Genomic DNA, 25888 nt, shown 5'->3' on the forward strand with positions numbered 1-25888 from the left:
TACAGTGAGCTGAGACAGCACCACTACACTCCAGCTTGGGTGACAGAGCAAGACCCTGTCTCAAAATAAATAAATAAATAAATAAAAAGTTGTAATTTGTAGGTTGACTTTTTCAACAGTATATTTAGAATGCTGAATGAAGAGGTAGACTCTCAAACCTAAAATTTTCTTCTAGAATATATTTTTTTCCAACATCTTTGTCATTCCTCTTAAGTTTCACTGATTGCAATATAAGTTTGTGACTTAACTGTTAACCTATCAGTCTAGTATTTGTGGCCAACCTTAAGCATCTAACAATGTACAATTTACATTGTACCTCAACGGTTTCTGTCTCAGATAAGCTAACCTAAGCCAATTTTGCTTGTCAATATTTTGGTAAATAATCATGGTCACCTGGGATTAGAGATAGACAGTAGCTATGGTTTGTTCGCCTACAATTTCACTATCAAACGTTCTGTTCTATAAAAGCAAGTCTCAGACTAAATTCTGCTGAACCTTCCACATTTGTTTACAAACAGGCACAAAATAGACATTGTAAATCTGAGGAGGTCTCACTCTCTGTTGTCAGTCACTCTGACATTTACCTCATAAGCAATGTTCATGCATTTCAGTCAAGTTCAAAAGTGGCGAAAGGAAAAGAAAGGAAAAGGGAAAGGGAAAAGGAAAAGGAAAGGAAAGTTCACGCTGTGGCAGATGCAACCAACAAACAACAGGACCAGGCAACCATGGAGTCACTTAGCCAGTGGAGGCCCCAGTGAAATGGGAGACAAGGACCGATGATGCTTTGACTCTGTGTACTAACTGCCTCAAAAGTATTGAGCAGCTGGGCTAGCAGATTCTATATGTCCTTAATGCAGGAGGAGTAGGGCTTATAAAATCTCTCCTGTCAACTAAATAATCTGAATACTTGTAATTTCCAAAATGGAAACTTATTCCATATGTCTATTATAATTACCATGCCCTCTATTATGCAATAGGTAGAATTCTAAGATGACCCCCATGAACCATGACCAGGTATATAATTCTCTTCTCTTGAGTGGGAACAATACATACAACTTGCTTCTTATGAATAGAATATGGCAAAGGTGAGGGGATGTCACTCCTAAGACTGGGCTATTTTGTATGGCAAAAGTGAAGAAAGTGTGCATATGTAATTAAGGTCCTTAATTATTTGACTTTAAGTTACTCAAGGAAGAGTTTATCCCGAGTGAGCCTAGCCTAATCAGGTAACCCATTAAGAAGAGGGTCCAGGGCTTCACTGAAAGAAGAAACTCAAAGACATTCTCCAGTTGGCTTTGAATAAGCAAGCCACCATGAAGTCTATGGATTCGAGAAAGTGAATTTTGCCAAAAACCACATGAGTTTTGAAGAGGACCCCAAGCATCACATAAGACCCCAGCCTTGGCCAATACCTTGAGTGCAGGCTTGTGAGACCCTGAGCAGGGAGCCCAGTTAAACACTGCATGGTCTTCTAATCCATGGAAACTGAGATAACAAACGTATGTTGTTTTAAGCCACTATATTTCTGGTAATTTGCCATGCACCAACAAAAAGCTAATATAAAAATATTTGAAGTGCTTGAAGTCTCACTTCTGAATTGTGTGCTTCAGATGCCAACTCACAGCCCTAGAGCAGAGCTCAAAGTGAATCTACACACACATGCACCACCTGTTTTTTTCTCAAGTAATTTAAAATAGATTTCCACCATAGATAATAAAAAACTCTGGTCCACATACCTGGTCTTAGTCTCTAGATACGACATCACCGAGTATGAGTGGGAGCTGGAAGCACTGCAGATATTGTTTAGTCTTCTCCTGCCTCTCCAATCAGGTCTACTTCTACTACCTTCTCCCTGTTATAGATGACAAAGTAGAGCCCTACAAAGTTTCTGTGGCTTCCTCAAGGCCATTCAGTTGCAGAATAAGACTGAAATCTTGTGTCCTATGGTCATCAATTCAAAATGTTTTTATTTCACCCTGTTGTAATGAAGTCTTCTTATTGTCTTATAATTTCTACCACAAACTCCAACTTCATTTCACAGGTTTTAAAGAAAATTATCCTGTACTCTTTGTCATCCATTCATTCATTCATCAAATATGTATTAATAACCTGCTGTATGCAATGCGTTGTTCTAGGAGCTGGTGATAAATCAGTGAACAGAACAGATAAAAATCTATGCCTTTATAGAGTTTAAATTCTGGTGAAAGGGAAATAAGAAATAAGAAAAACCACTGAAATGCCTAGTATATTTCATATTGATAAGTGCTCAGGGGGAAACAGTATATGGAAGGACATGGGAGCTGCAATTTCCTGGATTTCAGGAAGATCTCTTGCAGAAAAGTGCCATCTGAGTAACAGCCTGAAGACAAGAAGGGAGTGAGTTAAGCAGGTATGTGGAAGAAAATTGTTCCAGGCAGAAGGATGAAGAAATGCAAAGGTTATGTGTGAGTAGAAACCTTGGAGTACAAGACCTAGAAAAACTGAAGGAAGCCCAGATGGCTGAAGTAGAGTATGTGATGGGGAGAATGGGTCTGACAGGTAACAGGAGGCCAGGCTTTGTGGAGTTTTTACTCTCAGTGAAGTGCGAAGCTAGTGGAGAGTTTTGAGCAGAGGAGTGTCTGGGAAAATCAGCATTATTTCTTGGGAGTTTCAAACTAGAACCAAGTCAGAGTGTTCATATAGCTGATAACAGTTTGTACCTTTCCTGTGGAAGAGAAAGCTGCCCGTCATCTGCAGAGAAAGAGGAATGAGTCAGACACATGGAGAGAAGTAGAGGTCAGAAGCCAGAAAGAATTCAGCCAGGTATCACACACATGCTCCTGTTCCTGTTAAATTCCTATTTTGGCCCAGCGAACTCACTTCTCTCTTTAAAATGGCCTTGCCCCTCATTTTGCTGAGGTTGAGCTCAATGCCACCTCCTAGAGAGGTCTTCTTTGACCATATTCTAAAGTAGCAGTATCAAACACTCTATCTCCTTCTCCTGCCTAAGTTGTATTCATGCTAGGCATTTATCACCACTTTACAATGCACTATTTATTTGTTCACTGTTTTGTTCCCAGACTGGAATGTTCACCCCATGAGGGCAGGCTCTTTGTCCATCTTTGTCACTGTTTTACCGCCAGTTTCCAGAATAGCATCTGGCTCATAATAGATGCCATTTTAATAATTTTTTAGTGAATAAATGCAAATACCTAAAATCCCCATGGTTATTTACTCCACTTGGAAAGCTTGTTAAAACATGAATTACTGGACCCTCTCTTGAGAATTTCTGATTCCGTTTTGAGGTGGTGCTTAATCATTTGAATCTCTAAGCTTCCAGGTCATGTCCTTGCTACTGATCCATGGACCACACTTTGAAAACTACTGTTCTATACCTCGCTAGTTTCTGTTACAATTAAGAAGTTTTAGCTAATGTAGATGACTTGAATTCTTTTTTCTTCAATTTTTCATATGATTTTTGTTTTCTTCCTTCAACCATAATAAGATGATACTTAAATTTTGTCTTAACCAGGAGATCTATAAATACAGGCTTATCCATCCCACTTATAAGCATGGCAAATGGTGCTTCTCAAAAGTGTCCCCCATGAACCCTCTGGTCACCTAACCGAAGTCGCCCCCTTGCCTGTCCTTAGCTTGACTATGTTGTGCAGCCATTTCACTGAATCTCATTCCAGACTAATGTTTCCATAGCCTTCATGATTTTGCCTTTTTTTTTTTCCCTGCAGAGAATGTGTCTGTTTACCGCATCACCATCACCTTTGGGACCCTGTGCCTTTATGTCAGCACTGGTGCTCTAAGAGGCTTCTTCTTTGCTCATTTTCCCAGAGCCACATTTTCCTTGGGGCAGCATCTTCAAAACTTGCCACTGAAGTCTCCTGAAGTCTTTCTAAATATCTATTAAAGTTCTCAGGCTAAACTTAATGTAAAACATATACTCACAGTAAAAACTTAATGGCTCACTCAAATATTTTGCCAATATGGAGCCATTAGGAAAGAGCTCTAGTAGGTCTCATACTGTTAGAGATGTGAAAATTAATAAAATACTTTAAGTCTTATTTATGTCACTTGATACCACATGTCAGCACATTTTCTGACATTATATCATAATGTCTACAATGAAAATCATGGAAAATTTTGGCTTACTACATTTAGCTTGATCAGTGCTTTGTAGTTTACAAAGCACTGTTTGTTGTTCTATCTCAATAGCAATGCCAAGAGGTAAACCGAACAAGTATCCTTGTACTCATTTTCCATATGATAAAGCTGATGCTTGAAGAGGTCAAGGGCTTGACCCCAGGCCATGCTGATAGACAGCAAGAGTCACACTCATATATATGCCAAGCATGCAAGGCCCTTGCCTTCACAGTCTATTTACAAAACAGCCTGGAAGAATAATAAATCAATCCTAAGAATTGCTATGAAATGCCTTTAGCATAGGCATTAATGTGCAATGGATGTACAGCCTATTCAATTTCTTCATGAATCTCTATAGTCTTCACAAGGAACTTTCACTAGAAAAAAAGACAAACTTATCTGTTTTATCTCATTTTTTTTTAACACCAAGGACTATGAGACAGATGCAAAATCATTTTTGATTTGTTGGTTGAGGATTGACTGAAATCATTACTAATTATTCGGCACAAGTGGGTTCCACCAGCTGCACTTGAAGAACACTTCAACATCCTAAAGCAAAATAAAGTAGCTTACGGCAAGTGATGAGTGCCTTAATTATGTTATTGCTACACTTACTGCGATTTCAAAGATTAAACTTAATAGAATTTCCTGAGCAATGATGGTCCACACTGGATCTGAGGGGGCTTTTCACAAAGGAAAAGGAGAAAATACTTACTAACCTGGCTACAGCTAGATCTGGCCTCCCTACTAAAATGAGGGTTACCAGGTGTCCTACTTCTTCAGGGAATGTGCTACTTTTCAACAAATCACCCTGCGTATGGGATCCAAAGTAGGGCAGTAAAAATGTCTGGCTTTCTGTGACATGCCAGATTCTTCTCCTCTCTCTGACTCACTGATTTTCCACACCTTTCAGTGTCCGAGTTTGAAGTTTTTCTTAGACTGAAGAAACTTAGGATTGGTCAATTCCCCAAACCTCTTCATTTCCTATAGCAGAATGTGATTAAAGAAAAATTTCCACCAACCAGGCAAGCCAAATTTTCTAGATTGTATATCCACAACAACAACCTCAGCTGGTTGCTCCAAACATCAAAATCGGGGGTTGGCTGCACTCGGCAATACCACCAGCCCTGCTTGAAATGGTTTACTGCATGATGAATGCTGAACTGTCACCTCTTCCAGGGAGCCTTTCCCAATCCACTACATGCTCCACCCACCCACCCACATGCTTGGCTGAAATTAACTTTTCCATTTCCCTGTCCTTCCACAACACTCCTTATATACTTCTCTTAAAGTAAGTATAACAAGATTCCTAGTATCTTAGAGATTCCTGTGGGACAAACTTCACAACTCCTTTCTCTTCTCACATCTCTCCATGAGTTTATGAACCTTCAATTCATATCTCCAGAACAGGTTTCTTTCTCTTCACTTCGTCAAAATTTTATTCATCTCACAGAATTCAGGTCAAATGTCTTTTACCTGGCCCCATTCTTCCCATCTCCATAAAGTTAGTCAAAACTTCCTTCATGATCTCTGATAACTATGAAATGGACCCAGCTGTCCTATAGAACAGATGTTTATGGTTTCTTTTAAATAAACATAGAAGTTGACTCTCCCAGTCTTAAAACTTGAGAAAGTTACATTTGTCTTATCTGAGTTCCTTTTTCAGGAAACCAACCATTGGGCCTCCTAGATAGTATCAAGGAACTGAAACTTTCCAGATCACCATCTGGACAAAGAGAAGCCACACCCCTCACCTATCATGACTGCCTAACTGACCACCTGCTTCCTGTTCACCAACTCCTCTTCCATACCTCTCCCTAATTCCTGTTCTCCTCATGTACTTACATTTCTTCCCTGCTCTACAAACCCGATTTTAGTCAGTCAGGAGGATGGATTTGAGACTGATCTCCTATCTCCTCGGCTGCAGCACCCAATAAAGCCTTCTTCCCTGACAATAATCATTGTTTCAGTGATTGATTTTCTGTGCAGCAAGCAGTAGGACCTAACCAGAACCCCTGGCATTTCAGTAACACACATTTCTCTACTGTAGCACTAATATTGTAATTAGTTTAATTATTACTTTACATATCTTCTTCACTAGACTGTGAATTCATCCAAAGAGGCCAAGCTTAATGACCTGCCACAGAGTCTAGCATATTATAGCTCAGAAAGGCATAACAGTAGAAGTTCTCCTAACCAATCTCTACTTAATGATGACTTATTGGTGAACTGAACATTCTCTGTAGCACAGTGAGTACATACACCTAGTAGGCGGTCTTCAGGTACATCCAGATGGTAGAACTGCACATTTGCCAAGGGTTAGTATTTTTATTCCGTAACCTGTTTACATCACTTTTGTTACCGTAATTTCCATAATTTGATTAAATATTATTCAAATCAATAAAATATGAGTGTTTTAAAACAGTTATCCCTATAAGAAACAAGCAGAATGCCTTGTAAGTACTAATAAACACTCCGTAAAGACTAGTATTATTTTCTTTTGACTGCCTGATTTGATGTAAAGAAGACAATTATAAAAGACTGGGCAAAATATGTATGAACTCTGCAATTAGATTGCCTTGCAACCATCTAAACTGAAAATCGTATATTATAGGTATGGTTTGAGCAAATAAGAAAACACAAATTTACAACTGGTGGACCTTTGCTTAAAGAAAAGCTTTAATTGTTCTACTAAAATAGAAGTGAGTAAATGTACATTTATATGTTTTAGTTAAAATAGAATGTCTATTTTAAAATTATTTAAAATTCCTACTTTGACATTTTGATTAACTACCAGGAATATAAGAGGGATTCTATTATAATTATGTCTTTCTTGGTTGATTCATTCATTAATTCATCTGAATAAACACTTGATGAATACTATATTTGCTTTTATACTATTTAATACACAACCTGTCTTATGGCATTTATTGTTGACATATAAATGTGGCACATAGTGCTTGGCAAATTAGGTACCCAATGATAAAACACTAAATGAATCTGGACCTATTATCCCTGCTTTGATTTTGTTTTTTAATGATACGTTCTGTTTTGACACATCCTTGTATTCAAAATTGGCAAATTAAAGATTACAGACACGTTGTAGATAATAAACATAAATCATGGAGCAAAGTTTCATGAATTTTTCACATTTTTTTGAAATTTGGAGAGGCTATTGTTTGTATATCTCACTTGTCACTTAGTAACTTTTACATACCGGAACAAATTTGATATATGTTTTTTGTCCTTAGTTGGACAACAAAATAACAAACATTATATTTTAGAATTGCTCTTATCCTTCGCCATGTTTATAAGAAACATTTGACACAGGAACCATCCCAAAGACATTTGGTGACTGTCATTCGCTTCATATTTTGGTAGAGAGCATCACTCAAGTTTAGTAATAAAAATAATAACAATGAGCATATTTGCCATGTGACAGACCTGTGTTAAATAATTATATAAATTATCTCTTTCTAGATTTACAACTATGATAGTACTCACTAGAGAAGTAGGTACTAACAGAGAAAAAAATTAAATCTTAGATAAAAAAATTTGCTCAAGGTCACACCAACTAATTAAGTAATACTTAATACATAAACAAGTATTAAATATTAAGTAGTTGTCACTTAAATCCATTTGATGGATTTTGTCAATTTATTTGGCAAGACACTATTTAACAAAGGTACAGATCCACAGAAGTCACAGACTGTGGTATATGAGATGCATACGTGTGATAGGGAAATTGTCATAATTAATAGCATCTGTAAACATTATCCTTAACAGAAATTTTAGAGATACAATGTAGTCCTATATCCAAGAGTGAACCTTCAGTCATTCACAGATCTGGTAACAGGGCATCTGCGAACTTTACAATTCACTATAAAGTAATAAATGGTAAGCACTGGCCAGGTGCAGTGACTCACACCTGCAATCTCAACATTTTGGGAGGTTGAAATGGGAAGATTGCTTGAGGCCAGGAGTTTTACACCAGCCAAGACAACACAGCAAGAGCCCATCTCTACAGTTTTTTTTTTTAACAGTTAGACATGGTGGGCCTGTAGTCCCAGCTACTCAGGAGGCTGACACATGAAGATCACATGAATCCCAGGAGTTGGAGACTGCAGTGAGCTAAGAATGTGCCACTGCACTTTAGTCTGGGAGACCGAGCAAGACCCTGTCTCTAAAATAAATAAATAACATTTTAAAAAATGTTAAGAATTATTAAACTGTTATTTATTGTATTAACTAGAAACTTTCTTGATTCACTCTGTATGTTATTGAGCACAGTCTTTTGTAGATTGTTGAAATTTGATGAAAACACAATGAGACAGTCTCAAGCAGAACAGAACCTTGCATCATGAATCATGGGTATAGAAGGCAACATTCTCTAATTATCTTTGAAAGAAGGTACACTATACATCAACATCATCATCATTCAAAAAGAACATAGAAGACAGAACTAAATTCTTCTATAAATAAGAAATGGACTCACTTGGCCATCATTGCACCACCTATTGGTTTCTACTATGCTCATTTCTTCAAGATATTATAGTTGTATTTTGTCATGATCTTTGGTGGAATATTTTATATTTTTTATTTATGTATCAGGGAGGTTTTGTTAAAAAATTTCAAGGACTGGATGAAAGCCTTTCGAAACCAAAAAATATTTAAAAACCTAATTTCTCATTACTTTCACATTTGGGCATTTAAAAATGTATTAGCTTTTACAATTTTTTCCCGGCATTTTATCTTCTATTGCAATTATTGTCTTTTCTGTGGTCAGATGAGTCAAGGCTTTACTTGTGTAGATTAACAACTGTTACTTATAATAGCACTTGTAATTTCACAAGGATTGCATAATCAAGGTCAAATCTCTTTCCTAATGCCTGCCACCACTTCTCCTTAAGTATATAGAGTTCTTCTAAATCTAAGTGATATAGTACTTTCTTATAAAATACATTTCTAAAATAATCATAAATGACATGCCACTATTCAATTCCTATAGTACTCAAAAATTCAACTCTTATAGTACTTTTGATCCTGTAGTGATGAAAAGTTAATTGCAAATAGTACGGTCATTAATTGCTATCACCTTTTTAAGAGCGAGTATGTTCTTAACTGTTTCTGCAAATAGAAGATGCAATAGGAATAATCCTAGTCTCGAGGAGGAAACTCCTTTTTTCTAATCAAGTTTTATAAGGAACAGTTTTTGAGACATACTACTGTAACTCTGGGCTTTTCTCCTTCTCCTTCAGTGATCAGCCACACTTAAAGAAAGTTGTCTTGAATACTGGATTTAAAACATTCATTTATTTTTTCCTACCTTTCTCTTTTAATCTCTCTCAAATCACCATTTTTCAAAGTATCTGTTTTTTGGAAACTGTATCAATTGCTACGAAAAGACAGAAGTATAAATATAGGTGAGGAGATTTATAATAAACACGGGATAATGATAATAATAACATCAATATAATGTAAAAGTTATCATATCAACAAGGAAAAAAATGTACCATGAGGAGCAACATAAAACAAAGTTTAAACTTTGGCAGGCTGAAGCCAAGGAAACTTTTGAACACTTAATATACCATCTTTCAAATGTCTTTCTGGAGAGCAGTTTGCTAAAGTGTACTAAAAAAAGTTTTAAACTTCATGCTTTTTGATTCAGTAAATCCCCTTAAAGGAATCTATTTTAAAACAGAAGCTTGGCAAATATAAGTGTAAAATATGTAATGACAATGGTTTTTAAAATTAAAATAGTCCTGGAAATTATAAAATGTCCAAATAAAAAAAAGTACACAAAATGATAATCCACTTGATGATAGAATATTATTCCACCACTACAAAGATTTGAGAGGTAGAAAGAACATTCACAAAAATGTAAACCTTCTGAATTATAATAGGTGATTTTCATTTTTATCTTTATAAATTTTTAAATTCTCCGAGTTTTCTTTATTGAACTGGTATTGCTTTTGAGCTCCAAATAAATGCTACTATGTGTTTTAAAAGAATATCTGATAGCATGGAGTATGCTTACAATACAATCAAGATATAAAGTATAATTTTAATTTTGAAATATAAGTTTACATATGCCCACGGACAAAAACAAAAAGGACTGTTAGGAAATACGTGGAAATCTTAAATGACTACCTGTTATTAATACAGCTGGAGATAATTTATATTATTTTATTTTAGTTTAGATATTTTCCAGAATTTTATAATGAGTCTATTTTACTTTCAAATGGTAAATGTGTGTGTGTATATAACAGAGCAATAGAAGTCAATGTAGCGGAATTCCTTTCCTTGGCTCAAACCTGAGGCTTCCTCTCAGACCTTGGGACAAAGGTCTGAGAAATAATATGAGGCTTTTACATTATTTAATCTCACCAAAGAATGAATGCATGAAAAATAAAGCCTAAAGCTATTTTAGATCAGGATTTTTATTTAACATCAAGTAAATGAAAAAAGAGATAATGAATAATGGGACTACCCTTTTATGATATACAAAGCAAGGTATTGGGTCTAATTACTTGATGAAATTTAAAAATCAAAAAAAAAAATAAAGGGAAAACAATGCAGTTAAGTTTCCAAGTATATTATTAATAAATAATTGTAGGAAAAGTCAGTAAGTCCATATATTCATGTACGGAAACAGAACCCATGATGGATGAGCATTGGTTACTCCTCATTGCTGGAGGTTTTATAAGCAAACAGGCCAGTTTTCTTCTTTTGTGGCTTTGTGAGTTTTGCCCCTTGACATAAATAATGTATCCCTAAAATACCATGAATGACAACAAACTACCATTTTGTCTTCCTTGTCTATCTTCAGTATGTGGTGGTTCTACTATAGCAGATCACTTCAACCCAAATATTATCTTTAAACTCTCCAATGGTGTACACTTGAATAAAGAGAAACTAGAATATCTTAAGTAACTTGGATCCTAAAATTCACAGAGATCAAATTGTACATGAGCATAACAACCTTTATGAAGATCCAAAGAATGAATGATTCATTGGAAACAAGTATGTTCCAAAGGCTGACCTCACAGAGCATTGGACCTCAGAATTCAACCTCCATCTCTGTCTTTCTTTCCTTGTATTTTATTTAGGTTTATTCTGTAGTAATGGTATTTCCAGGGTCTACATCTTTACTTGGATATTTTGTTCCTCTTTGTGTGCCTTCTCTCTAGAGAAATGCTGCAAGTATAGATCACCACCTTATTTTAGCTTCCCATTACTGTGGCATGTAGAAGAGAAGCAAAGGAGATAACAAAGAAATTGATATATTCTATTCACACAGGGGTAGGATGGGAAGATACAAGCTTTTAATGAACTGGCTAAAGTTTCCAAAACTCAAACTTTTTTTTTCCATAATTTTTGCAAAGCTAATTGAAACCAGATACAAAACATCGCAGACAAACTACCTAAGAGTACCTTGATTATTCCTTCTGCATTGTTCTCACTGTTATTTATCTGAAGAAAGGGGCATCCTAGACGTTATAGCTATATTTTCATAATAAACTATCTATGCTAATTATGTTGAACTAGACTTATCAGGAGGATATTAACTTGGGGTACTTAAGAATTAGTTGTGGTGGCTCATGCCTGTAATCCCAAAACATTGAGAAGCCTAGCGGGGTGGATCACTTGAGGTCAGGAGTTTGAGACCAGCCTGGCCAACATGGTGAAACCCTGTCTCTACTAAAAACACAAAAATTAGCGGGTGTGGTGGCATGTGCCTGTAATCCCAGCTACTTTGGAGCCTGAGACATGAGAATTGTTTGAACCTGGGAGGTGGAGGCTGCAGTGAGCCGAAATCATGCCACTGCACTCCAGTCTGGGCTACAGAAAGAGAGACTGCCTCAAAAAAAAAAAAAAAAAAAAAAAGAATTAGTTGAGACTGATGGGCTACTAAGGAAATCTCTCATACCAGTTAATCAATTTAGCTACTTTGTATCTCAAATTGGCATCTCTAAATTGTGACTGAAAAGTATATAATCCCTTTTCAAAGCAAGTCATGGTGAAAAATGTTCCCACTTAAGCCAAATAAACAAATGTTTATGCCACTGATGAGTAGTGCCCCTTAGAAATCATCAAAACCCGCTTTAGGGATTAGGGCAGAACATTTGAGAGTATAATTAAATGCATAAAAGTGCTTAAACTTGAATTGCTACAAAATATAGAAACCATTTGGAAATGTTTTATGGATCACATTAATGTGTGTGTGTCCCCGTGAAACATAAGATATATAGTTGTTGTTGCATAATGAGTTCTGACAGCACGCTTCCTAGAAGATGACGTTCATCTGAGCAGTATCTTACTTTTCATTCTACAGCATTGCAAAAAGTGACTAATGATAGAGAAAATACTGAAGAGCATCTCCTTTGATACTAACTTCAAGCTTCTAAACCATGAGAAGGACCCATTTAAAACGTTAGGCTCATTTACTGATGAGAGTGGACCAAAGAAAATCACTCTATGCATCTAAGCAACAGTATGTAGTGTCATCACTAATTTATGTCCTTTGGGTAAACGTTCTTGTTAAACACACTGGTTTTTGACAATTTTGTTGGAAATTTTCTGTTTATAAATTTCCTCTTTTATTCAGAAGCTTGGACCAAATCAAATAACGCAAAGTGAACAATGCTCTTTTGGTGATGTGCAAAACAAAGAGAACTCTAAAACATTCTGTTAATTTTAATAAACAACATGACTTAGAAAAAAGTAAATAAATCAAAAAGCAAGTAGAATCCAAATACCCAAATAACGGGTGTGTTAGATAAAACTATTAAATAGGAATAAAATCAGATAAGAAAATTGCTTAAGACCTTGAGCCTGCTGTGAAATATTTAGTGAATCTAGGGAACAAAGGATAACATAATGAAGCTAAAGTTTAGGAAACGTAAGTGTTCACCTATCACACTGTCTTAGAAATGTGTATATAAATACATACGTATATATGTGTGTATACATATTTACACAAATGTGGCTATATATTTTTTGCAGGTTTTTATACATATATTTGAGTGTGTGTGTGTAAATAAAGTTCACAGGGATGGCCTGAAGCTTAACCTAAAATATTTCTATTTCAAAGTTGATCCTATTTATAGGCGTATTTAACAGAGAGGCTATACGGACAATTTGTAGAGATCAATAGTTGGCTGTATAGAAAGGATTTTTTTTTTACCCTTTATAATGTTGTGAATCCCTAATCCCCAGTCTCACGGTAAGTGTCCTACATATTTAGTAGAGGGTGATATGAACATTCAATTCTTAAACCCTTTGGTGCCAGCCTTAAGCTATCAGTTTGCAATATTTCATATTTACAATCTAATCTAAGCTTCCAGGATTTTCCTCACTCTGAAAGATAAAACAGACATTTTAAAATATGTATCATTAATTCTAAGTTTTAGCAAATAAAATTGCTACACTGAGACAAAATGTGGTTACAAAAATCATTGTGTCAGTTACCAAAAATCCCAAGTCTACCACTTAGACTACTTTTATGTCCCACCAATAAAAACTATAACCCCAGACCATCCAACTGAATGAGCCACGAAAATTACCCCCATTCCCATGTTACTGCCTTTCCAATTCCCATGTCACTCCCTTTCCAATTCCCATGTCAGTTGTGGGTCTCATACCTAGGTGTGGGGAAGCAAAAGAAAGTTTAAATTATGAGAAATTGTTTTCAGATACTTTTTTTTATGATGGACACTTAAAAATTTGGGGAAATATATATATGATATATGATATATATGATATATATATCATATATATCAAAGAAAATCAATGTTATAATCAGCCAGTCTCCCCAAATCACCAAAGCTAATAAAATATTTTCTTCCAATTTATAGACACACACACACACACATACACACACAGTGAATCTGGTATTCTACCAACTAACATGTTATAAACATTTTCCCTCCTCATTGAAAGTTCCTCAATCTTCCTTTTTCTAATGGCTGTATAATATTCCATAATATAGATATGTTGTAATGTATTATTAGGCAATTGTAATGGAAGAAACATTTTACTAGAAAATCTGGATTACACAACCTAGTCACTGTAGTAAAGTAAGAGCATTAGTAGAAACTGTAATTGTTTTAGAAGCTTTTAGAAGTGACAGATTCACCTATCGTTTCCCGTACTCTTCACCGACATTCCTTAAGGAGCAGATTCTGTTCAGCTTGCAATTGTCACTTGGCTTGGAATCATATAATTATTTACCACTTTTTTTTTAACTTTCAATTGTGGATAAAATGTTTATTAAATGAGGCTGATTCACCTCAGCTCCAAAGTCTGTGGCAATTTCTCACCTGCTTCCTGCTAATTATTCTAAATAGTTACAGAAACATAATTGTGATTCAAGTGGTTCTCCAAGTAGAGTCCCTGGACCACCAATTTCAGAAATACCTGAGAATTTACTAGAATGTCAATTCTTGCATACCATCTAGGTCTACTAAGTCATAAACTCTGAGGATGAAGTTCAGCAATCTGTATTTTAACAAACCTCCAGGTTATTCTGATGCCCCCTCAACTTGAGGAACCACCATCTTATCCTATAGACAGATCATGCTGTTGAAATGTGCCATTTTCACATACACATAGTCCACAGAGGCTTCTGCCATGTTTTTTTTAACAACCCGATATGTAACTTTTGTCCCAGCAACATTTTAACATCAGGGGACTGCATCCATTTCAATCTGAACACTTTTGTCCAATCACTCCAAGTGAGCTTAAGAAAATGTAGAGTAAATTTTTTTAAAAGATCTGTGTACCCAATTTGATAGACATTTTATCTTATTTTGGCATTTCTATTCTCAGGTAGCAAATTGCCTGAAAGGGCAAACAATAAATATGGGAGCTACCGCATGGCTCTTTGTGGATATATTTGGAGGCAGTTTAACATGCTGTGGAGATGTTTCTAGAAAGATTACTGACAAGATCAACCATTTTATGAAAGTTGCTTTTATTACCTTTGGATTTTTTCTAACTTGAAAAATATTGCTCTTAAAGTATGCTTCTCTACTAATCCTTCCTGTTGAGCATTCTATTCTCCTTAAAATATATATATATATAAATATATATGTAGATGCGTGTGTGTATATATATTACACACACACATATGTCTGTGTGTATGTGTGTGTGTACATATGCACACTCACAAATAATTAAGTAATTCCATTCTGGGAGAAAGACTTTGAAGAAAAGCAGTTTATTTGCTACTCAGAAAGGGAAAGTGATGTTCGTGGGACATAAAGGGATTTGAATAAATAGGAATAAGTGTCCTTTTAAAAGAAAGCAGCATATGGAACTAGAAATACTTTCTGGAAGCTCTAATCTCCTATTTGAAGAAAATCCAATTGTTCTGGCTGGTGGCAAACTAGGAGATTACAGCTGAATTTCTCTCCCTCCATTCAATGTGAAGTAATCATAGAGCCATAAGGAATTTGACAGGAACCATAAATACTTCTCCTGTAAATCCCTAAAAATTTATAAGAGCATTATGACTTTCATGCTCTTTCTTTCCTAGAGTCTTTACTTCAAAGTCTTCTGAGACTAGAAGAGCCCCTGGAGCAATCATTCTGCTTCCATATCCACAACTTGGAACTCTTAGTCCCAGACCCTCAAATTATAGAACCTGAGGGAAAATTTAGGGGGCACTGAAACCAAATACCTTCACGTGTCAGATGACAAAATAAATCAGGTAGACAAAAAGTGTTAACCACATCACGCAAAGACCAAAACCCAAAGTTCCACATTTTCAGGCAGAGCCCTCAGCCTCATGTCACTAGGCTTCATTTCTACCAATATCGCCCCACTGACTAAATGTCCTTTGTCACTAGAATTGTTTAGTTCTGCATAAATACAAAGTATCGATGATCAAATTTGACTTATTTCTTCTCATTCAGTCCTTAAGTGGAAACAGCAAAATGCTGGTTGCCTTCTCTTAAAAAAACAAACAAACAAACAAAATAAGAAGGAAGGAGAAGGAAGGAAGGAGAAAAATAAAAAAGAAAGCGAGAATGAACAAAGAGTGAACAAATGAACCAACGGAAGAATGAAAAATAAAAGAAAGAAAAAAGAAAGGAAGAGAGGAAGAAAGAAAAGAAAAAAGAAAGAAAAGAAAAAGAAAAAGAAAAGAGAAAGAAAAAGAAAGAGAAAGGAAGCAAGCAAGCAAGCAAGCAAGCAAGCAAGAAAACCTAAAGATCTTTATCATCACATTTAAATAAGAGTAAATCTCAAGAGGCCATCTTATCTACCCGTTCCCACTAGGCATTACTCAACAGAGAACCAATAGCTAGGAACTTCCTCTATTCCTAAAGATTTTCAAGAAAGGAAGAGAAATATCTTGGGAAGTTTAGGAAACATAAATATTTAGGCTCATTTATTGATGAAAGTGGGCAAAATGAAATCATCCTATGCATCTTAGTAATACTATGTGGTATCACAAGCAGCTTGACATAACAGGCTGGTATCAATTGTCATGGGTAAGTGCTAATTGCTGAAGATCTACCAATTTGCTGTGTGCTTTTACTAAAAATATCTTTGAAAGTTCCACAGCCTTCCAAGATTTTGTATTCCTTGATATAACCTTTAAATTGCCTTCTTCACATTCCCTCTTGTTTGTTAGTAATGAAATGCCAATGATCACAGTACCGGAAAAAAGAAAACGGAGAAGAGGACAATAAAAAATCATGGTTATGATTTGTGGAGCAAAGGAGGGCTTTCAGCATTAATATTTACATTAATGTTTACGTTAAAGTGGGACAGATTACACTACTTTTTACTCACTTCACTTCTTCTTACCCTGCATAGAGTTAAATACTTACTGTTTGTGCCTTGTAAGAACTCTAAAGATTATAGTGTACTAGTAAATCTACTTTATTTTGCTGGCAGGAGTCAGCAGACAAAAGAGGAGCAGGAGAAATGTTGTCAAATCAATAGTGATACTGACTGAATTTTATCAGTGTTTCATCTTTAGCTGAACTATATGAACTCATTCAGATTTTAAAAAATATGTAAACTGTCTAATCTATTTTATAGCTCCGTTTTACAGAGTTATAACATGTCAAGAACAAAGTTACAAAATCCAAAACATACAAGTTAGCATCACCTCTATTTTTTTCTGAAAATTCCGAAAGTACAATGATTAGAACACACTTCAAACCTCACAGCTCTGTATTACTTAGGAAAAAAATCCCAACAGCTATCCAGTTGTGCTTTGAGGTCATTTCTCAAAGCATGTGCATTAAGAAACTTAGCAATCTATGTTTATGGTTGCTTTATCTGGTAGTATAATACAATGAAAATCTCACATATAAAATTTATAATGTGATATTTACAGGTTCAAGGGTGGAATTGCTATGTTCCAAATGATTTTCTGTCATCCCTTAGTTCACTGTTTCTTTAATCCTTTAAAACAATCTGTACAGCCTTTGCTGTAAAAGATTATTACATTCTTATTTCCACTGTGTAGTCATAATTTTGAATGTACTCTCTAATTTACCAACATTGTTTCCAATTCCATATAAACCCATATGAGGGTGCTCCCAGCAAAACTAATTAGGGGGATAACTGTGTAATGTGAAAAAATAAAGAATTGGAATATTATCCTTGTGTCATTTGATTTGCCAAAATTCAGCTTGTAACAATTAGATACTACAGTTGGAAAATTAGTGATTTTATTTATATAACAGGATCTGTCATAAAAGAGCCAAACTGGCAAAATCACTAATAGTCATAACCTAAATCACCCAATCAACCAAAATATTATAAAGTTCAGCTTTTATTTTTATGCCTATTACCCTTTTCATGGCAATGGGTTATTTCAAATACCCCACCACAAGCCCTGAGAACACAGCTGGGTTACTTGAAACCAGTAGCTCTAAACCAGTGGTGACTTGCCCCTTAGGTGACATGTGTCAATGACTGAAGACAGTTTTGCTTGTGGCAGTCTGGGGGATGCTACTGACATTTTGTGTAGGGCTCAGGAATGCTGCTAAACATCCTACAGTAGTGCACAGGACAGCCCCCCACAAAGAAGAATGACCTGGGCTAAAATGTCAACGGAGCTTAAAAAAAGGTTACTAGTCTAAGTGAGCTTAAGTTGAGAAACCCTGCACTAACATTAAGAACTATGTGTCCAACACGGTTGCAACATGTTACGCAAACACCTGCATTTTGTGGGGTGGGGGGTGAATACAGCCATTCTAGGGAGAGTAATTTGTTCTAACTTGGGTATTTCTGCCCAATAAGCTAGTAAGATATTTGCTTTTTCTAACGTGGATTCATCAGGGCACTGAAATTTAACTATTTTATTTAAAATATGGTATATACTATTTCTTTGTGGTTTTTCTGTTAGTGTGTGTGTGTGCGTGTGTGTGTGGTGTGTGAGTGAATTTCTGAAACAGAGCGGTAGCAAGCAAATGGCAGATTTGGTTTTATCATCAAGTTTCTGTTAGACATTTCGATAAGATTATACAGAGCATATAGTGGATGCCTACTACATATTTATTGATTTTTGAAAATAAAGTTTGTGAACCTATTTCTGCTATCTTCCTCTTTAGAGAACTGTGATTGCATTTTTCTTCTTTTTTTCTAACATGTATAGAGTGCCTGTTGCCATAGTAATCACTGATTTAGCACAACGTGTTTTTTCCTCCTTCTTTAAAAAAAAATTAGTTCCCATTCCTGCCAAAAAGGAACATATTAATCTACCCATCATGCTAGCTTGGGGAAGTTGAAGGCCACAGAAGTTGTCATTTGTGCAAAGACTCCCAGAAAGTCAGTTGTTAGCATCTTCTGTGCCAAGAACTCTACCCCAATCCCAGAGAGGAAATGAGACACTGAAGTAAAAGATTCTGGAGCTGAGGAGGTAACATCTCTCTTCTTTTCTGCAAAGTCCCACAAAAGATGTGCACAAATGCTCATGTCTGTGTAAACAAATTCACCTACTGATTATAGATTTAACAGACCACTGATGTCCAGAAAACAGGGACTAACTAGACAGTGCTCTTTAAGACAAAAGTTTACCTTAATCTACTTACTTCTGAGGGTAGGGGAACAACAACAAAAGCAACAACTAAAGAAACAAAAACCTTTTGAGAAGTCTAAAAGAAGTAGAGAAATCCTACTGAAGAAACCAACATCAACAGTTTCATTTCTTTATCAAATAAAAAGTCCGGCCTGAGTCTCCTGACTGACTACATTCTTTCTAGTATTAGGTAAATCAGATCTCAAATCTGATCTAGCCCTGCTATTCAGACCACGAATTCCTGTAAACATACCTATCTAGAACTGTGTGCAGGCCCCTCTTATGACAATGGTCTGTGCTCACCTGGATTTTTATCACTGGCACTCTTAGTCAGGACCACCAGATTCTTCCTAATTTCTCAAGTCAAATCCGAAGGCTACCCTGCTTGTGGTGTTCCATAACTCTGTCTGGCCCCTCATGAGAAATGCCACCTACTTGGATGAGAGCATTTAAGTCAGAGCAAGACAGCACAGAGGTTGACTTTAGGTTCCCATCTGACATATTTACTGTTCTAAGAGAGGAAAGGTAGTGGAAGAGAAAGAAAAACTAAAGTGGAACTGCAGGATTTCTGATTTTCAGAAATGTCTGCTTATTATCAGAGTGATAAGAACTCAAAATTAAGACATGGGAAAGGAAAAGATAGGGATATAGAGTCAGAGCTGTTCCTTAACCAAAGGCTTTACAGAATTAGAACACAGCTGACACAGGAAATTCAATGCAAGAAGGTCCTGCTCTAAATAAAAACAGATGAGGAGAAAGTCCATTCATTTTTACTAATAGTATGCATGGAGAATGAACACACGCTGCCTTTTACATAGACCCTTATAACTGTTCATACTGTTCTGTAAAATCAGCATATTTCTTATTATTTTCTTCTGGGAAAAAACACTTGGCTATGCATTTCCTTTTAATTTCATGGAAATGGGAAAGGGGTAAAAGGAAAGAAAGATAATACTTCCTGAAAACTTGAATGTTTTGCTGAAAACACCCTTAAAGGAATGTATCTCTGTCAGGGTAACAAAAACATTTAATAAAATATTTTTAAAGCAGTTGGTCTCTAAGAGAAAATGTGAGGTATATGTAATTAGTAGCAAATATGCATTCAATTGTACTAAGCATGACCATTCTTCCCCTTTAAATCCTCAATCCATGAAGTGTGTTTGTTAATTAGGCAGTAACTTGAAGAGCGCTGCTTTTCCCATAGAAGTCAGGTGCTCAACTACTCAACCATGAATCTCTACGGTTACATGAATCTATGAATGGTCTGCAAACCACTTATACTCCAGGTTTCAATTCTGCTGCCAGTAATAATAGTAATAATACCATCATTCTATTCTAGTAGCACAGTGCAAATTTAAGATAATTAGAAGATGATGATAGAAATTTGAAAGCAATGGATTACAAAACAAGACTGCATCAAAGCATAACACGCAACACAACACTTTTTCAATTATGTACATAACCTGGAAAAACTAGTTGGCAATGAAAAAAATGTGTTGAGAAGTACCTTATTAATTCATTAAATATTTCTGTAATCCTATGTTTCTTTAAAAAGAAAAAAAGATTACTAGTCTAAGTGAGCTTTTATCTTTGTTAAGCAGCATCCTTTTAACCTCCATCATCTCTAATAACTAAAAAAAAAAAAAAAAAAAAAAAAAAAAACAAGAGAAGTTAAAGAAGCAAACCAGCAAGAGAAACTGTAGTTGCTGTATCAATGACAATTATTCCAGTGATAATGACCTGACTTTTTGGGTTGGTCTTCTAGCTAGTCCACAGGGATCCACTGTTCAGGACGGTGTTAGGGGAGGTGGGCTTTGTCATTTTGCACAAGGTTTGACAGGTTTCAGGGTTTAAATCTGCAATTTCCATGGCCCTGGAAAAGTAATGTCTAAATATTGCTTAACTGAAAGTTGCTGATGAGAATATTTCAGTGCTCTGTGCAAAGAGTGGATCCGTGGATCAGTTAATTTTATTGAACAGAAAAAAGGTGAAGTATTGTTGTAGGGATTGAATGAGAACAGATACACAGTGTTTAAAGTAATTCCTGGCACATAGTAGATATCCAAGAAGGTGTCTGACTCCACCCCTTCCTTTTCTCTCTTTCTGAATTGTATTCCACTGTCAGCTGCTAGTGTATACATGTCATGAGCTAATGTGCCCATTGATGGTTTAGCTTATGACTTTCAGGTCAGTTTTCTAAGTTGATAAAAACAAGCATTATAGATAATAAAATTCAGAGGCAGTTCCAACATGGAATAATTGGCTTGTCTCATTCCATAGTCAAAGCTCATCTCAACTAAGTTTTCCATTGCTCACAGTGAGGACTAGGGAAGAGGAATTGCTGCAAATCCATTTTCACAGGTGGGTAATCAACACAAGAAGCACTGTCAACTGATTGTGGGTGTGAAACCATCTACGCACTTGAAAGTTTTCATGTTATCATTACTATGTATCCACATACATTTGCCGAGCCTGACCGTTCCAGATCAGTCTTCTGAATGCTAGCTGCATATCAGAACCACATATGTATAGTTTCATAAATGTGACAATACTCAGGCCCTACCCTGAGACAAGTGGCACAAAGCATTCAGAAGTGGAAAGGATTCTCACCAGGAGAACCACTCTGAGAATCAATAGAAACAGAGATCCAGGTCAAAGAAAAATATTATCTTTCTTCCCTGGGAATCACCAGCATTTGCACAGACTTCTACAACTAGCTACATGACCCAGGGCAATTTCTTAAAGTGGGACACAGTGTGCTCTGAATGCAGACCTGACACTAAATTTATCATGGTTGGGTAGCTGCTGCCTTATGGAGAATGGCCTGTGGGACACTGAACTTACACATTAAACAGCTGAGCCAACGGATGTTTCAACTGCCAGGAAAATAACAGAATGGGGAGACCCTCTGTTCATTTGACACCAGTGCCAGCTTGGAGAAACAGCATTTCTTCTGCAGTTATTGAAAGAAAGTAACCCAGAAGTACCCACAGTCTTTTAGCTCTTAAAATATGGAGCCACTTTTTCTTTTCCAGCTTATTTCCAATGCAAACCTGATTCCAGGCTCAAGAGAAGTACAACGTGCCTTGGTCCCTTCTCCCTAGTCTTGGTCAGCTTCTTCAATTCCTCTTGCTGATCTGGCCTCCAGTTTGGCTGGCTTTTTAGAGGAGTCTCTCAGCACTACCAGCAGAGTCTTTTGACCTATGTTACTAACGCGTGTATCATATCTAGATCCACTCCTCACCATATGTCATGGTACTGTCTTGTTCCTGGTTATTGGTGGTATATTTGTTTTTCTACTGTATGTAGTTAAATTTTAAGTAACTTAAAGAATTACAATAGCAATACAATTTCATTATAAAAAGCAGAATATGTGGATAAACAGAAAGAAGAAAATAATATCCACTATCATACCATTAAGGTGACCCACTAACACAATTTTCAAATAAATTTCCTACGTACATATTTTATTTTTATAAAAATGCAATCATAGAATAGTCAATATGATTTTTAAAAGTCCCTTTTATGAAATAAAATATGTGAACATCTTTTTGTAAATAATTATTCATTTGAAACATTCTTTTAAAATGGCTGTATAGTATTTCCTTGTGATTTTCATAACCATCCCCATATTGATATTTAGCTTGTTTTGAATCTTCTGCTGTTATAAACTATGCTAGGATGACAGTTACAGCTCTTCTTCAACTGCTACTACCCAGTTTGATTGATAAATGACACACTTCCCTTGGCCTAGGAAGAAGCAACAGATTCTGATGTTTGCAAAATTTGTCAGTGTGGCTTATCAAGAAACAGACTCTATCTCTCTATTTATCTATCATCTATATATTTGACAAAACATTTTGAAAAATGACTTTTAAAAATGAAATAAGGAATGTAAAGTCACAAACAGCCCAGGGACCCAAATGAGAAAGCATCTGTCAGAGATTCATCAGTCAGGAGTACCTATTATTTTAACATTTTCATGGTCATATAAGAGGAAAGAACAGGTAAAACAGCCAAAGTATCACCTGATTCCCACTGATTTAGAACAGAACTGCAGAAATGTTGAAAGATTTTTTATTAGATTAAGCTTCCCAGCAAGAAATCTAGACAGCAATCTGCAGCTAGCAACATGCCTTCGGAAAACCAAATACGAGATTCACTGACACTGTTTTGTGAGGGCCTCCTCTACCCCTCGTCTCCCCTACCCCTCGTCTCCCCTTTTTCACATACCCCACACTAGGATCAGAGAAGTTTGGGGAAAAATCAACAGAAACAACACGCCAGGTAGATTATGGCCACTGCAACCTTGCTGCAGCTTAGGCTAGGCTCTTAGGATGACCTTCTCAAAATCCTTGAAGGAGAAGTTGGCTGAAGGAATTTTATGCAGGTCTGGAATGGTCTCGTCTCTAGAGGTCTAGATCCAAAAAATAAAAAGACTGCAATTTTTAATCTAACTCTTACCAGAATGAAAAACCATCTAAATGCTCCCTAGGGGCCTTAAATTGTTATGTTACCAAAAATGCTATGCTGTGGGAAATACTAATATTAAGTAAATAGCCCCTGTCATTTTTACCAAGGACATTTGGGGGAAAAAAAGTCACTGATGAATAAGTGAAACCATCTTAAGTTGCTGAAACTGACATAATGAAAACCACCATCTTTCTAAATTCCTTAGCCAATTAACTAAGGGAGGGGACCACCCCTCATATTGCCTTATGCCCAATTCCTGCCTCCAAAGAAAGAAAAAGTAAAAACTAAAAGGCAGAAATGAAATCCACAAGCAGACCGCCCGGCGCCACACCCTGGGCCTGGTCGTTAAAGATCGACCCCTGACCTAATCGGTTATTTTACCTATAGATTACAGACATTGTATAGAAAAGCACTGTGAAAATCCCTATCCTGTTTTGTTCTGATCTAATTAACAGTGCATGCAGCCCCCAGTCACGTACCCGCTGCTTGCTCAATCGATCACGACCCTCTCGCGTGCACCCCCTTAGAGTTGTGAGCCCTTAAAAGGGACAGGAATTGCTCACTCGGTGAGCTCGGCTCTTGAGACAGGAGTCTTGCCGATGCCCCCGGCCGAATAAACCCCTTCCTTCTTTAACTTGGTGTCTGAGGAGTTTTGTCTGCGGCTTGTCCTGCTACGTAACAACTTGTATCATTCATCACTACATTTATTTCCATTAACCTATCCTAGAACCAAAAGATCCTAGAACCGAAAGATGAGGGTACATAATTGAAGGGAAGACTCACCCAGGAAAGAAAAAGAAAAGGAGTCAGACTGGGCTATCTGAGAATTCACAAAGGAACTAGAAGCTGTGTAGTCAAAATGTTCCTGGCAACGTGGCAAATGTATTTCAAATCAAACCATGCATTCACTAGACTCTTCTTTTCTAATCTTTTGTTTTCTCTTGGCCTGAGTCAAAGTCCTTTGTAAAACTTTCATGGATCACATGAGGAGGAAAGGGGAGAAGGAGAAGCAGGCAGACAGGGAGGAAATGAGAGGGTGTTCCTGCTGGCAAACTCAGTGGGGAATGAACTACCTCCTTCAGAGGGAAAATGAGGTGGGAGGGACAGAGAGCCACGGAAAGAAAGGTACCAGTTCCCTTGCAAGATGGGGGTAGGAGAGGGCTCTTCTCAGAAAACTAGAAGAGATTTTGGTGATGATGTCAGAATTGGAGCATCTGCCTTCTAAGGACTTTGTCTGCCAACTGGCATAGGGAGCACTGCCCAGAGAGCCAGTTCTCCGTGTAATAAGCAAAGGCAGGAAATGGGCAGGGAGCAGTAAACTCAGTGGGAAAAGCCACATTTGAAAAACTTGGGAGAGAGGAGGAGAAAAAGGAAGCCACACAGAATTTTGGTGCCACGAGGAGGAGGACATCTGTATCTTGTATTTGCATGGTGTTTTACAGTTTAGAAAACACAGACACCATCATAGGTCACTGTGAGGTGGGCACATTTATTACTATTTTCCAGTTGCAGAAATCATCACCCAGAAATAAGGGAAAAACCTGATTGCAAGTCTTCTTATATGGGTCTGTTCTTTCTACTACATCTAAGACATTTCTCTGTGGCATGCCTGCACTTTGCAGTGTTATCTTCCAAACACCATCTACTTTCAGAACCCTACACTTCGGAGAAACTGTACTTGTACCATTCTTCAAACACGCTACAAGTTTTCCTGCCTCTATGTATTTGTTCATACTATTTCTTCCCCTTAAACTTCTTTACCCAACTTGGACTGTTAGAATGTTGCCCAAACCTTTCAAGGTCTAAATCTCCATGTTACCTGTTTTTCTTCTATGCTATTTTTTTTAACATGATTCTTTGTATTACAGATATTTACAAACATTTCTTCTCCCATACTAAATTTAACTTTGTATTCATTTTACTGCCTAGTAAAGCTCCTTGCATAGTAAGGAAACTAGTTTTGAATTAATAGGCCAGTCAAAAAAAAAAAAAAAAAAAAAAAGAAAGAAAAGAAAGCTTTGTGAGTTCTTAATATGTATTTTTTGTCACATTAAGTGAAAAAAAAAAAAAAGTTCCCCAAAGTCATGAAACCAAAGCAGATTCTATTTACATTTAGTGTAAGATTTTGCTAACTGAATACTATATCCCAAGTTTATGGGGAACTATCTATACTTACTTTTATATATTGATCTTACATTTTGGGTGTGTGGTTATGAGGTTAATTCATTAAAATGAGTA

General features: G+C 36.4%; 1 protein-coding gene and 1 pseudogene across 23 annotated transcripts in view; both read right to left on the bottom strand.

The window, feature by feature from the left end:
- On the bottom strand, positions 1-25628 carry LOC124905995 (peptidyl-prolyl cis-trans isomerase NIMA-interacting 4-like; annotated as a pseudogene).
- SLC8A1 (solute carrier family 8 member A1) overlaps positions 1-25888 on the bottom strand; it is a 415166-nt gene that overhangs the window by 278669 nt on the left and 110609 nt on the right. The window lies entirely within an intron of this gene.

The sequence above is a fragment of the Homo sapiens genome, chromosome 2, assembly GCF_000001405.40.
Source record: "Homo sapiens chromosome 2, GRCh38.p14 Primary Assembly".
NCBI classification, from domain to species: Eukaryota; Metazoa; Chordata; class Mammalia; order Primates; family Hominidae; genus Homo; species Homo sapiens.